This window comes from Homo sapiens, chromosome 15 (genome assembly GCF_000001405.40).
Source record: "Homo sapiens chromosome 15, GRCh38.p14 Primary Assembly".
In the NCBI taxonomy this organism is placed as follows: Eukaryota; Metazoa; Chordata; class Mammalia; order Primates; family Hominidae; genus Homo; species Homo sapiens.
The window spans coordinates 65,059,286-65,073,955 of NC_000015.10; the positions used below are offsets into that span (position 1 = coordinate 65,059,286).

At 51.1% G+C, this 14,670-nt stretch overlaps 1 protein-coding gene across 6 annotated transcripts in view, besides 1 other annotated feature; it reads right to left on the reverse strand.

Moving 5' to 3' along the window:
• The window catches only part of RASL12 (RAS like family 12), a 31,088-nt gene that overhangs the window by 13,706 nt on the left and 2,712 nt on the right, over positions 1-14,670 (reverse strand). For 3 of the 6 annotated variants that reach the window (XM_005254434.5, XM_017022296.2, NM_016563.4), the window contains exons 1-3: positions 8,448-8,706; positions 5,932-5,988; positions 60-133 (exon numbers count right to left, since the gene is read on the reverse strand). In XM_005254434.5, the coding sequence (XP_005254491.1) occupies positions 60-133; positions 5,932-5,988; positions 8,448-8,550 (234 nt within the window). In that variant the 5' untranslated portion in view covers positions 8,551-8,706. Of the gene's footprint in view, positions 1-59; positions 134-5,931; positions 5,989-8,447; positions 8,707-14,013; positions 14,081-14,670 lie in introns of those variants that run through there. The other 3 variants (XM_011521660.4, NM_001379429.1, NM_001307930.2) reach the window with 3 other exon arrangements.
• Positions 12,372-12,871: an enhancer, noted in NCBI's record as "H3K4me1 hESC enhancer chr15:65363995-65364494 (GRCh37/hg19 assembly coordinates)". NCBI's record gives its function as "activates a minimal SCP1, AML or CMV promoter by ChIP-STARR-seq in primed H9 embryonic stem cells {active_cell/tissue: H9 hESC(primed)}" and the evidence as "EXISTENCE:reporter gene assay evidence [ECO:0000049][PMID:30033119]".

Genomic DNA, 14,670 nt, shown 5'->3' on the forward strand with positions numbered 1-14,670 from the left:
GACTTCTCAGGAGGCTATACTGACTCACAGCAGTGCATAGGTAATGGAGGTAATGTTACCAGGTCTGCAGTGTCCATGACCCTCAGGTGGACAGGCTGGTGGTCCACAGTCTCCTCGGAGCTGTAGGTGTCCTCTACAACACAGATGGTTAGCCAGGTCAGACACAGTGCCTTGGGTGTAAGTTTGAGCTTCCCTCTGTGCTAGACCCCTGTGTGGCCTGGGGGGACCTTAGCAGCTGCTCTGGGGCTGGGACCACTGGAAAGTCCTTGGTTCTCACCCACATGGAGGCTACAGGCAGAACCTCCCACCAAGGAGATGCTGCTCCACCTGCAGGGCTCAGCATCAGTGGTCACTCACAGACCACACCTCGGGGGTGGGTCTGTGTTCTGGATCCACACACAAAACCAGCAGGATAGAGTCGAGTGTGTGGCCCCTAGACCCTGTTAGCAGCACAGGCTGGCTCAGGAGCAACACTGCTAGCCCCTCTATCCCAGAACCCCAGGCTTTCCCACTCTCTTCCCCCTCAACCAACCTCCTGTCCCCAGTGGGAGAAGAGACAAGGGAAAAGAGAAGTACACAATACAATGGAAGGAATGGCAGTCAGACCCCTTTTAGAAGTTCCGAGAAGGTTTTACAAATAATCCTTGTCAACATGACAGCAGGGGAGTCTAGTGTAGTCAGAAGTTTTCAGTTGGAGAATGTGGTATTAAACCCAATGTCAGCTGCTTTTTAGCTTTGTGACTTGGCCAAATCACTTCAGCTCTCTGAGGCTGTTTCCTCATTTTAAAATGGGAACACTGTGATAACATTGCTAACAGTTTCCAAGCCTTTCCTTTGTCCCAGGCGCTGTGCTAAGTGCTTGACATTAGCTCATTTAACGGTCCCATCTCCCAGGGCTCTGTAAGAACTGGATGGGCCCCCCAGGCATGGGGCCTGGCTCACCATACATGCCTGGTGAGGGCAGTGGGAATGATGGTGTTCCAAAGTTAATAGGGCAGGATCACATTCCCAGGTGATTTTTTTTTTAACTTTTGAAATAACTTTAGACTGACATAGAAGTTGTAAAATAGTAGAGTTCCTGTGTACTCTTCACCCAGCTTCCCCCAGTGTCATCACCTTACATAACCATAGCCCAATGAGCAAAAAGAAATTTACATTGATACCATACTATGAACCAAACTAGTGACCTTATTTGAATTTCTCGAGTTGTTACTTTTTTTATATATATGGTTCTCATGATCTCAAATCTGAGAAAGCAACAAGTGGCCAGGCATGCAGAGGACCTTGCGGCCATGTTGGCAGTCATTCTCTGCACCCCCAATCTGTGCCTGTGTCATTGGCCCACATGTGTGAGTGCACTTGGTTATCACCTTTCCCTAGGTGTCCCCTGCCCCTAGTGACCCTAAAGAAGTCACCTTTTGGCAGAACTGGGGTGGTCTCTGCCTTCCTGGCAGCATCCACTGTGAGAGGGCACGCCCCCAACCCTGGCTGAATTTATAGTCAAACACTTCTTTCTGAGGGCCACTGGCAGCCAAGCTGGCCTGGACACACTCCAGGTCCACTAGCATCCAGCATGAATCACAGACAGCTTCTTGTCCCCAGCCTGCTTTGGGGACTTGGATAAATAGCTGCTCTTATGCAAAGACAAAAAAAATCTAATGGAAACTATGTTCCAAATGTTTAACTATATTTGGTCCAAGAAGAGCTGCCCCTAGATGCTTACATCGCTTTCAGATCTGTCTTTATTTTCCAGTCAAAGATGTCAGATGCACCCCTTTTAGGAGTTCCCCTCAATGGGCGCAGTGTCCTGCCCAGCCCAGTGAAAGGCGCTAGCTCAACCTTGGTCTCCTGCCCACAGCATGACAGCCTTTCAAGGTTGCTGTTAGCTCCATTGTAGAGAGATGGCAAGGTGAGGCCCAGAGAAGGGATCTCACCCAAGGCCACACAGCACCTAATCAGCAGAAGGAACTTGAACTCAGGGCTTCCAGGCTGGGCTGTGTTCACAATGGGACCCCCTCACCCCGTGACTGCTCAGTGAATCAGCCCACCCTCCAGCTCTGTCTGGGCAGAGTACAAGGGAAGACCAGAATCGCCCAGTCTGGTGGGGATGTGGAACATGCCTGCATGAGCTGGAAGAAGCCTTGGAGCTCGTACTGTCCAGCCTCCCTTTATAGAAGAAGTGACAGGCCTCAGGGGCTGGGGCAGGAGTGAGGGGCTCCTTTCCCAGTCACAGTAATGTCCAGACTTCCTATCATCAAGTCCCTGCCTCAGAGTACTCTGGTGTCCTTAAATATATGGGTTTCCTAACACCTGGTTGTAATTAATATCCTGTGGACTTTTGGGTAGAGAGAAGAGTCATTTCCCAAAGTTTTGAATTTGCCGATGTTTTCCTCTCATTTATAGTAATAATTTTTAAATGGCACCACAGAAGCTCACGTCAGAGTGTATACAGGGTGCTGCCTCAGAAATGGTGCCTATGTTGGGCCGGGCGTGGTGGCTCACACCTGTAATCCCAGCACTTTGGGAGGCCAAGGTGGGCGGATCACAAGGTCAGGAGTTCTAGACCATCCTGCTGAACACGGTGAAACCCTGTCTCTACTAAAAATACAAAAAAATTAGCCGGGCATGGTGGCAGGCACCTGTAGTACCAGCTACTCGGGTGGCAGGCACCTGTAGTCCCAGCTACTCGGGAGGCTGAGGCAGGAGAATGGTGTGAACCCGGGAGGTGGAGCTTGCAGTGAGCCGAGATTGCGCCACTGCACTCCAGCCTGGGTGACCAAAAAAAAAAAAAAAAAGAAATGGTGCCTATGTCCTCGCTGGAGGAGGAGGAGAGCAAGAGGAGTGAGAAGCTGACATTCTTCCCTGGCTGAGCCAGATGAGGCACCCTCAGCCCTTCTGGGAGAGGAGAATATTCTCCTGGAGACGCCTGCCCACTCCTGCGGGTCTCAGCACAGGCAAAGCCCTTCCACAGACACTGAATCTCTCAGCTACTACCAGCTCTAACAGCCACACCCCAGAAAACGGTGCAACTCTTACACAGCCAGAGCACAGGCTATTGGTCCCATCTTCCAGATGGGGAAACCACAGCTCAGAGGGCCCCATGCCACACAGACCTCTGACTCCAGGCCCTCTATGACATGAGGCTGCTCCTAGCGGAGAGCAACTGGAGCCATGCCTCGTCTTCCTTTGTGCCTGAGGGTCTCCATAATCTTAAGGCAAATCACTGAGCCCTCTCTTCCTCCATTTCTCCACCTATAAAATGAGGATCGTGATAGGAGCTCTTCTTTAAAGGGTAATCCTAAAACCAAAATTTACCACCCCCCCAGTTAAACCCTCATCTACACTGAAGCTAGTACTGTGCTACCTGCTGGAAATGGGAATGAATCTCCACCCTCAAGGCTCACCAAATGAGCTCAGGCTCTCAGAAGACCTAGGAAGGGCTTAGAGAGTTGTTTTACCAGCATTGCTGATGGCTAGCTCCCCAATGGAATGTGGAGACCTTTATCCACAGAAGGAAAGGTTCTCATCTGTCTCTGCTGCTGCTGGAACCAACAATGGGACAGTGGCCGGAATGTTTAGGCCCCTCCTAGCAGAACCTTCGAGGAGTGGCACTGGCCTCCCAGAGAGTCTGAGGGGAGAATGTCTGGTTGGCTCTCTGACTCGTGGGCTGTCAGTGTAGTGTGAGAGACCACAGACCAAGGGGACTGACCATTGTGGGGCTGCCCACTTCCCAGACAGTCTGCCCACGCATTCCACTACCAGGTCAGAACTCCAAAATTATTCAATCAGGAGGCTCAAACCACCACCCTAATAGGCTCATCCGGTGGCACCCTGTGACAGTATCGATTGGAAGGCAGGGAGGAAGACAGACTGGAGGTGAGATGCCAGGAAAAATACAAGATGCCCAGTTAAATCTGAATCTCAAAAAAAAAAAAGGAATAATTTTTGGTATAAGCATGACCCATGCAATATTTGAATTAGGCCGAATATGTCTTTTGAGTCCCTGCCCTTGGGAATTCCCCTTGTCCTTTCCCAGACACTGTGTCTGCTTGTGTGCCTTTCCTTCCTGTCCTCCCACCTCACCTCTGTCCTCAGTTTCTCCACCCCATCTCTATTCCATGCTCTGGCCTCTTCCAACACCTCGCCGGCCAGTGCACCATTGCATCCTGTGTCCTCCTCTCTCTGGAGCTGACCTCTGCTAATCAAAGGGCCTCCTCTGGGTGACCTTGGCCCAGAGTCTTCAGCTCCTTGGGCCTGTTTCCTCCACTGTAGCACTGAAGGGCTGTGCCAAGGCACCGGGGGTCAAGCAGAGCTTCGAGGAACAAATCTCTTAGGGACTGTCACCATGTCACCTGCCCTGCATCCCTGACTTACCCATGGGAACCCCTTTGCTCTCTCTGTTTGACACCCTGGGGTTCTGTTTAAAATCTGGAAGAAGGGATTCTGCTACCTAAGGAAAAGCTTTTTTAAACAAGGGGACTAAATAGCCCTGATGTCTCTGCCTGCTGCAACACTGGTGCTGGACTCCAGCCTGAACTAAGGGGCTGGGCACCACTAGGGTAAGGAGCTCTCCCCTCCAGGTGCGGCAGGAGCGCTGGATCAGGGGCCTGCTGCAGGGAGCGCAGGGGGTTTCCACTGTGTCACAAAGCCTTGGGCTTCTTTGGAGGGCTCTCAGGGGTCCCATGAATGCTTTAATTGATTTTTATGAATGGGGAAAATAATCCAAGACTGCAACACCCATTTTCTAAAGGCTAAGATCATCCAGACACCTTATGGCTCTCAGTGAACAGTTTACAATAGACAAATGTTATACATGTGAGCTTTAAGCAACATTTATACTAATAAAATCCTGCTTTGATTTGTTTTAGAAGGGAATCTAAGCTATTGTGTATGGGAATCCATTTGAGGAGGAAGGAAAAGCAAAAATGCATTGAGTGCCTACTGTGGGTCAAGTACTAGGCTGGATCTTTTACATGTGCTATTTCTTTAATCCTCACAGCAATTCTCTAACTATTTTTTAATGCCCATTTTACAGATGAGGAAACAGTAGCTCAGAGAGGTTAGCTGACTGGCTCAAGGTTGCCAATAAGGAGCAGAGCCAGGTAGGATTCAAACCCAGCTCTGACTGACACCGAAACGTTCCTTTTTCCAATATACCATGATGCAGCGATGAAAACAACAGTTGTTTTCTCATACGGTTAAAAAACTGGTTCAGAAGCCAGCACCACTAGAGAATTTCTCGAATGTCCTGCCCAGGTTTTCTGGAAGAGAACACTGAGTGACCATCTTGAAGAATAATACCTATTTGTTTTTGAGTTTTTTTTTTTTTTAGACAGAGTTTCCCTCTGTCGCCCAGGCTGGAGTGCAGTGGCACGACCTTGGCTCACTGCAATCTCCGCCTCCCGGGTTCAAGCAGTTCTCCTGCCTCAGCCTCCCTAGAAGCTGGGATTACAGGCACACACCACTATGCCCAGCTAATTTTTGTATTTTTAGAGACGGAGTTTCACCATGTTGGCCAGGCTGGTCATTAACTCCTGACCTCAGGTGATCCACCCACCTCAGCCTCCCAAAGTGCTGAGATTACAGGCATTAGCCACCGCACCCGGCCCAAGAATAATACCTGTTTGGATGTGGATGTCTTGCTATGTTTATTTTTATTTTTTAAAGTTTTTTCACACCTCATATTTTAGGGTAAATCAGCCTCTCTTAGTTCTGTGAATTAGGCCAACCCCCCAGTTGTCTGGGGTGGGCTGTGGAAGGGGTATTTCTGACACTTAAAACATTTTCCCCCATGGGCTGGGTCATCCTGGCGGCTTCTCCCTTCTGTCCCCAGACATGCAGTCCTGGTCAGTGCCCACCCACGGGGTGGGTCCCAGGAGAGCACTCCAGATGGGGCACAGGCAGCAGAAGGTACGGGGAGTAGTTTCTTACCCAAGTTGGGGTCATATTCACTGATAAACCTCTTGGTCAGAAACTTCACGGTCAGGGCTGCAAGAAGCAGAAAGAGGTTGGCTCCATCTCCGCGGCCATGTCTAGCTGCTGGCCCCTCGTTTAAGGGAGGCCTTATCTAACCTCTGTGATCCCCGGCTGACACCAAGCTCAGCTCTCCCAGAGAATGAAGCTAGGGAACTGAGGAATTGGTTTGAAAGGCTCAGAAGGAAACCAGAACTACGGGGAGCCAAGTGCCTCTAATTGCACCGTGGGAATTTTTTTTAATGGCAAGGAAAGCAATGAGTGGCAAGCCTAAGGGGTGTTTGGAAGGTATGAACTCAGGGGTCAGGACCCATGCAACCATTACCCTAGAGTCAGCCTGGTGAAACCTCAACTGAAGGGAGGTGTCGCCCACCCCGGACAAGTCACAGAGATTCTGAAGTGTGGGGCTATTTACTCCAGGCTTTAGCTACAAGCCAAAAACACAGGAAGAGCAGAGTTGATTGCAGTGGTTGATCTTTGGGAAGGGTATAAATCCCCAAGTGCCTGGGCTTTCCAGGTAAGGTCCAGGTGAGGTCTGTGTCCCGAAGAAACACACTCTGGTCCTGGTCTCCCACATCGCAAGTCTTGGCTTTCTCTGGGGCCTCTACACTCATCATGGATATCTCAGCAGAATGTAAAACTCAAGAATTAAGCTCTCTTTGGTTCAGAGTGTAGCCATATAAAGCAAAGACCAGCCAACTACTATACTGGACCCTCAAAAAGTAATGTTCGCTACTGCTTGTTTGGAAAGAAAGAAAAGAAAAGAGAAGAGAAGAGAAGAGTAGAGAAGAGAAGAGAAGAGAAGAGTAGAGAAGAGAGAGAATAAAAGAAAGAGAAGGAAAGAGAAAGAAAGAAGAAAGAGAGAGAAAGAAGAAAGAAAAAAAAGAAAGAAGAAGAGAGGGATGAAGGGAAGGAGGGAGGGAGGGAAAAGAGAAAGAGAAAAAGGAAGGAAGAAAAGAGAAAGAAACAAAGACAGAAAGATAGAAAGAAAGAAAGAAAAAGAAAAAAGAAAGAAAGAAAAGTAATGGGATGCCTGTAATTCCAGTGCTTTGGGATTGAGACCAGCCTGGGCAATGCAGTGACACTGTTATCTCTAAAAAAATTGAAAAATTAACCAGGCATGGTGGTATGCCTGTAGTCCTAGCTACTCAGGAGGCTGAGAGGGAAGATCACTTGAGCTCAGGAGTTTGAGGCTATAGTGAGTCATGATCGCGCCATTGTACTCCAGCCTGAGTGACAGAGACACTGTCTTAAAAAAAAAAAAGTGACATTGTGAATAAAATCCTTAAAATTCTTTCCTAGGATTCCTAACGGTGTCAGTTTGCAAACTAATACCCAGGGAATACATATTTTAAAATTTAAATTCTTTCTTTTATGTAGTCACTGGCTAAACGGTACCGGTTACAGAGCTACGGATAACAATCTGATTTTCAAAGGGCAAATCTTTCAAAGGAAGAGGGTAATCCCTTCTGTAGGAAAACCAGATTCAGAGTCCCCTCTCTGGGGGTGGGGCTGGCTTCAAAATCAGAGAGTAGGCCCCCAGTGAGTCTTACAGAACACTCTGGGGAGGAAACCCACAGCCAGCTGAGCTTGGGTTGGCCATCACTAACGGCTAAAACTGGAAAAACAGCCAGTGGAGGACCCCTTCTGCCCTCCCTCCTTCAGCCAGCCAGGAGTGGCATAGTTCAGTGTTGACACAAATTATCTCAATGGAAGCCCAAGATCTTGGCTCATCAAGGACAATCCCATGCACCTGGAACCATAACCCAATGTGTTTCCAGAAAGTTGAGAGGGGTCTGGCTTGAAACGAACACATTTGATAAGAATGCACAACTTGTCCCAGAATCCCAGGGAATGGGGGTGGGAGTGGGGGAGTGGACCTTCCCTGAGAAATCTCAACAGCTAGTGACTTCACCAGCTCCCTTCTACGGGGAGGGGGTGTGGAGGGGGAGGGGTTGGACGGGAAGTCTTCCCCCAAGCCTAATCAGGGAGTAGCAAGGCTGCGACTAAGCTCAAAGAGGCGCCTTGGGTAGGGGGATCAGTGCCCAACAGGTCCCTTTGAAGCCAGTCGCCAGGACTGACTGCTGGCCCCAGGGTAGGTCATAGGGGTGGGGGTTGGAAGGTTGGTGGCAGGGGAGACCGACCAGTAAAGGACTCCGAGACACACAAGAGAGAGGGGAGAGACAGCAGGGGTCACTGATACGGAGGACAGAGACAGTGGGAAGACACAAAGGGAAGAGGCAGGCAGGGAACAGAAGACAGAGATGGTGGAGCTGAGCACAAAGCCGAGAGAAGAGAAAGCCCGGCAACAGGGAAACTGAGGCAAAGAAAATCACGGTGTCTTGTGCGACCCTCCTGGGTGAAGGAAGCTCCCCAAGCCAGTGGAAGAACCTGCCCCCAAGAGCACAGCCCACTGTCCCCCCACCCACGCCCAGCTCCGCACTTGGCGGCTCAGGCTCCCCGGCGCCACTCACCAGACTTGCCAGCCCCGCGGCGCCCCAGGATGGCCAGGTTGACCTCGAGGGGCGCGCTCTGAGGCCCGCTGCCCGCGCGGGGTTTTCCAAACACCGAGGACATGGCGACGCCCTGGACGGCCACGCAGGTCTGCGGCCGGTGGGCCCCGCGCAGTGCGCCCGCCCGTCGGGGCCCAGGGGAGCGGGATGCAGGCTTCCCTGGAGCGCGCGGCCCCGGACCCGTCGGCGTCCGCGCCCTCGGCCCCGCGTCCAGCGGGCTGCCACCCCGCGGGGAGGAGGGGCCGGTGGAGCCTGGCGGGCGGGGCCACCCCAAGCGCCACCAAATTCCTTGTAAGGGCTGCGGAGCCCCCCGCGGGGCGCGCTCAGCCGGCTCCTGGAGCAGGGAGGGAGCTCCTGCCGGCCGCGCCCCCACCGCCGGGCTGGGCCTCGAGGACCCTGCCGTCACCCTCCCGAGCGCCCCCAAACCCGGCCGGGAAGGAGCAGAGAAGGAGCCCCAGGGCTAGGGGGAGAGAGGGGAAGGATGTTTGCACTCTTCCCTGAACCTCCCACTCAATCTCTTTTCACCAGCAAGAAAATCCACCCCTCCCTTTGTTCTACCAAGCCAGCCCCGCCTCCTCCTCCAGGAAGCTTCCTGGGTTCAATTCCAAGCCTTGCCCTTTCTTTAGCTCAGCCTTGGCACTCTATATCCCCAATCACATTATTCTGCCCTTTGCTGTGGAGACTCTAGAGGCCTCACTGCAGAACCCATTCGGAACCCAGGCTTCTGGGAGAGGGGGCGGGGCGGAGAGAACCCCTCACTAAGATTTCAGGGCCAATATGGGTTCAGCTTCAAGAAACCTAATCCATTCTGAATTACTGTCTCTCCCTAATGGGAGCTAATGAGTTGCATGTGTTTGTGGCCTGTTGTGTAAATGGGGTGTTTGTTCTAAAACCTGGCACTGCCTCTTGCCTACAGCAATTCTGGGATTGGTGGTGAGCCTGGCAGGGGTCCCCTGGTCATTCCCCTTGGGACTCAGGGTAAATCTGGTCATACCAAAGACAGGGCAAAGGGCCCACACCACGAACCTGGACACTTAGGATCTAGTGCTAGCTCCTGCCCTAGAGTAATCTTGGGCAAGTCACCTTGCTTCTTTGGGCTTCGGTGTCCCCATATATAAATACTGAAGGAAGGGGAAAATGAAGCAAAATAGAGAGTGACAGAATCAGCCCTGGGCTCCAGGCCTGCGTACATTCTAGAACCCTGTGAGGCATCTCTTCTGGAGTACGCTCCAGGTTAGAGCAGGGAAAGGCATGGGAGCCTCAGAGACCTCTCACGGCAGCCCTTCTCCTTCCCCTTCCCGCAGATGGTTAACTCATCTACCCACCCACCCACAGAGGAACCATGGAAAACCAGGTGTGCAGGCAGGGCCCAGGGTCAGAGCTGGATGGTAATAACGACTCTTCAAAGAAGAACAATTATTTTCCTGGCCAGGACATGAATATTGACTCAGCCTAGTTGTGTTTTGGGGAAATCATGGTAAACCAGCTGTGTTATTAAGGTAGTGGGTGGAATTTGTTTAGATTACACTCTCAGGCCAGAATTAGTCACACAGCTAATGGCCAAGGGTTTTCCTTTGAGTTGTAGGAGTTGAGAAAGTGGGAGCCAAGTTCCAGTCACATCCCTGGGCTGGCCCCATTCTGTGAAGACAGACTGGTTCCAGATGGGGCCTTTGGGGATAGAACCAATCTCAATGGACAACTGCTGGAGGCAGGGCTAACTGTGGGCCTGCACGGGCCCAACTGCATGTAAACTTAAGCTCTGCTACTTCTCAGCTTGTGTGATGCTGGGATGTTACTTGACCTCTATGTGGTCTGTTTCCTCATCTTTAAAACTTGACCAACCAGGAGATGGGAGCTGCAAGATTCTAGCTCAGTCTGAGGGTGAACTCTGTAACCATCTGACTGTCCATAGTTAGAAGGGACTGTCTTTGGTGGAACTCAACCCCTCTCCCCTGACACTGGCAGCAACCAAGGGAGTGACCACGTCAAGGAAGTGTTAGAGAAGAGACGCCTTCATGACTCGAATGTTGCAGTAAGATGACCCTTAATTCTCTTCCAGTTCAGAGATTATTTGAGCTGGTGGCCACCTGGTTACTGGGGCCCTCAACTGTGACAGCTCATTGCTCAAAGTCTGCCCCTTCTCTGAGGCTTGGGAGGAAAACAGTGCCCACCTCATGGCTGCGACCTATCCTTTTCTCCATCCCCAGTTTCCTCACCCAGGGGCTGCTACTGTCAGACCCTGGAATAAACTACTTTGCCCTTCTGGGTCTCTGTTCCTCATCTTCAAAATAGGGACAAACCTGGGCAACATGGTGAAACCCTGTCTCTACAGACGCATATAAAAAAATTAGCTGGGTATGTTGGCATGCAACTATAGTCCCAGCTACATGGGAGGCCAAGGTGGGAAGATAGCTTCAGCCCAGGAGATGGAGGCTGCAATAAGCTGTATTTGTGCCACTGCACTCCTGCCTGGGTGACAGAGTGAGACCTTGTCTCAAAATAAAATAAAACAGGGACAATATCAATAAGTATATTAGATAACATGTGTCCTATCCAGAGCTTGGCCCATGGCCCAAGGAAGTGGAGGTTAGTTCTGTCTACTCCTCTGGATATAAATAGCACACATTTCTCATCCACCTACAAAGAAGTCATAACCGTTTAGTGACCAGAAGTTTGTACACTTCAGATCAAGAGAGAGGTTATTCTGCTAGGGCAGGTAACCCAACTCTCCTTACCCTCTACCCCCAACCCTCATCAAGGGTCTCATAGGAGGCCCCCAGGCACTCAAAATCTAGAGGATGTGGCACCAGGCCCAGCAGTGGGCATGCAGCAGGTGCTCAATAGATACCTCTGGAGTGAACGACTGGAGCAAATATAGGTCTAGACACGTAGGGCCTGTGAGGTTTTCCTGACGGCAGGACCTACCCTTGCCACCCAACCCCCAGGAGCCCTTTCATATAAAGCTAAGCTTTTGGTACCCTTTCGCGATGTGGTTGCCTCTTCTGGAGGCACAACATGACAACCACTTCTGTGGTTGTCGAATGATAAATTCACATGTCAAAGGGGAACAGAACCTTAGAAGGCAGATTCAAATTCCACTTTACAGATGAAGCACTGTAGCCTGAAGAGTTTGGGTAGCTTTTGTAAGTCAGTGGTGGCACCAGCATCAGAGCCCAGGCAGGAGTCCTGACTCCCAGTCCAGTGCTCTTCCTCCTCTAGGTCCAGGCAGTACAAGCCACTCACTACCCTATGTGCAGAAACATCTATGTGCATAAGTGGCAAGGGCCAGGGCGTTCCCATCAGACTTCAGAGAGTGGGGGTGTCTCCCAGGGGCAAGGGTTATATCTTCTCTATCAGACTGGAGACTCCCACAGGTTAGCGCCCCAGAGAGTCTACTTAACAGACGCCTACTGTATGCCCATCGTTGTGAATACAGGGATAAACAACACTGGGTCTGTGCTCTAGAAAGGCTCAGAGTCTGAGGCAGGCTCCTTTCTCCTTTCTTTGCCCCCATCCCCAACCTCACACAGTGTAGGGGATGCGGAGTAGAGAGGGAGGTTGGTGTGGGGTCGAGCAGGGCCTGGGAACTCTGTGGGCTGCCCACAGCCAGGATAGTTCCTTGTCCTCTCCAAATCCCAGAGGGACACTCAGTGTCCAGGAGGAGGAAACTCTCCCCAGCTGTAGGCAACACCCCACCGGGGCCTTGGGGGCGGGACCAAAGGGCTGATCCTCAGCCCAGCCTCAGGAAAACATGACCCCCCACCTTGGATGACCGTCTCCCCACTGTCTGGCTGCTGGAGGTAGAAACTGGGTGGGTGCCCGAGCCCCAGCCCACTCAAGGCAGGGCTGGACTTGGAAAAAATCAAGCCAAGAGCAAACTTCAGCCAGGAGGGGTTTGCACTCCCTCCTTCTCCTGCTCTCAGGAGAGGGCCTGGCAATGGTTCCATCTGGTTGTGTCTGCCAGTTACTAGGTGTCTGGAACAGGCCATTTGGGAGGGAACTGTAGTCCCGGGACTATGCAGCAGCCCTGGCCCCCTGGGAGTCAGCCCTTCTCCAGCCCTGCCCCCAGCAGAAGGCAACTGTTTCCCTGCCCTGAGACAAGGCTAGTGCAGGTGAGGAGTGGCAGCTAGGGTCAGTGGGCAGGGTTCGATTGAGCCTCACATCCCCATTCATAACCAAGGAAAAGCCCAAATCATTTCTAAGCCTTTGTTTCCTCGTCTGTGAAATGGGAATAGTCAGACACTCTTTCCCTACCACTAAGGCCACCAGCAAGGACACAGTCAAGACCCAGCACTGAGAGCCCACTGGTCCCCAAGATTGGGACTGTCATGCCTGCTGCCTGGACATCCCAGACCATTCAGCCAATATCTGGCCTTGGGGAAAGAAAGAAACTGGCAGAGGGCCTGGGATAGTATTCATGGGGACTTCTGCCCACCCATCCCCCCATCTCCTCCTCCTCTTCCTGTCTGGTCCCTGGGGCAGAGTCAGAGATATTTCTGGCTGCCTCCTCCAGGCCTCTGGCTTCCCAGGCTCACACAAGTGGTCCCCACATCCCATCACTGCTTTGATGGAGTGAACTGGATGGGAGTTCCCTAGCAGGGGAGGCACATTTGTGTTGGCTCTGCAGATTCATACGTGAGGATCTATGCATATGTATCCTAAGGGGGAGAGAAGTTCCCCTGCCTCTTCCCACCTTCTACTTGGTCATTGTGAGCCACTCATTCTCCCTAAGAAGGCCTGCAGGTAAGGATGGGGAGCTAAACATCTGAATGGCAGATACCATTTTACACGTCTGGGCCTCAGTTTCCTCACCTTAGAATAGGTGGCAAGAGGAGATAATTATTAAGCTCCATTCCATCCCAAGCTCCACTTTTGGACCCATAGTTTTAGCTGGTCACCTAGAAAAGTTCTGTGTAGTGGGAAAAGTGCCATGGAGTGGGCAGCAGGAGGCCTGAGGCTGTCTGCTTCAAGCTACAAGACCCTGAGCACTTCCCTCCACTGTGAGAGGATTGAACCATATGAGCCTGAGGTGCCTTTCAGCTATGCCCTCCTGACACAAGGTGACTGCCCAGCATTTGTAGCACAGAGAGGCATCGGAGCACAGTGGTATGGCCCAGCACTTTGGGAGGCCGAGGTGAGAGGATCACTTGAGGTCAAGAGTTCAAGACCAGCCTGGCCAACAAGGTGAAACCCCGTCTCTACTGAAAATACAAAAATTAACCAGGTGTGGGTTACTCTGTCACTCTGGGTGACAGAGTGAGACTCCGTCTCAAAAAAAGAAACAAACAAACAAAAAAACCCCAAACCAACGAACCAAACAAACAAACAAAAACCGACAACAAAAAACACAGTGGTATGGGCATGCCCTCTAGCAGTCCCCAACCTTTTTGGCACCAGGGATTGGTTTTGTAAAAGACAGTTTTTCCACAGACAGCGGAGGGGAGATGGTTTCGGAATTATTCAAGCGTATTACATTTATTGTGCATTTTATTTCTATTATTATTATAACATATAATGAAATACTTACACAACTTGCCATAATGTAGAATCCATGGGTGTCCTGAGCTTGTTCTCCTGCAACTAAACAGTCCCATCTGGAGGTGATGGGAGACAGTGACAGATCATCAGGCATTAGATTGTCATAAGGAGCAGGCAACCTAGATACCTCCCACATGCAGTTCACAATAGGGTTCGCCCTCCAATGAGAATCAAATGCTGCTGCCACTGATCTGACAGAAGGCAGCACTCAGGCAGTAATGAGGATGGGGAGCGGCTGTAAATATAGATGAAGCTTTGCTTGCTCACTGCTCACCTCTGGCTGCGCGGCCTGGTTCCTAAGGTCCATGGCCCCAGGGTTGGGGACCCCTGCTTTAGAATCAGGCTGGCTGCATTCCAGGCCTAGGTCTGCCACTCTCTGGCTATGTGACTAAACCTCTTGGTGCTTCAGTCTCTTCATATATGAAATAAGGCCATTAATAATTTCTAATTCATAGTGTTGCTATAAGCAATAAATGGATAATATCCATGGGGGGAGAAATAATAGTATCTACTCCTGGGATTGTTGTAAGGACTTAGTATAAAGTGCTTACAACAGTGCCTGACACATAATGCAATTAAAGTGTTAGCTATTATTATTTCAGGAAGCCCTTCTTCCCATCCACAAGCATATGATCCCCTAGGCAGC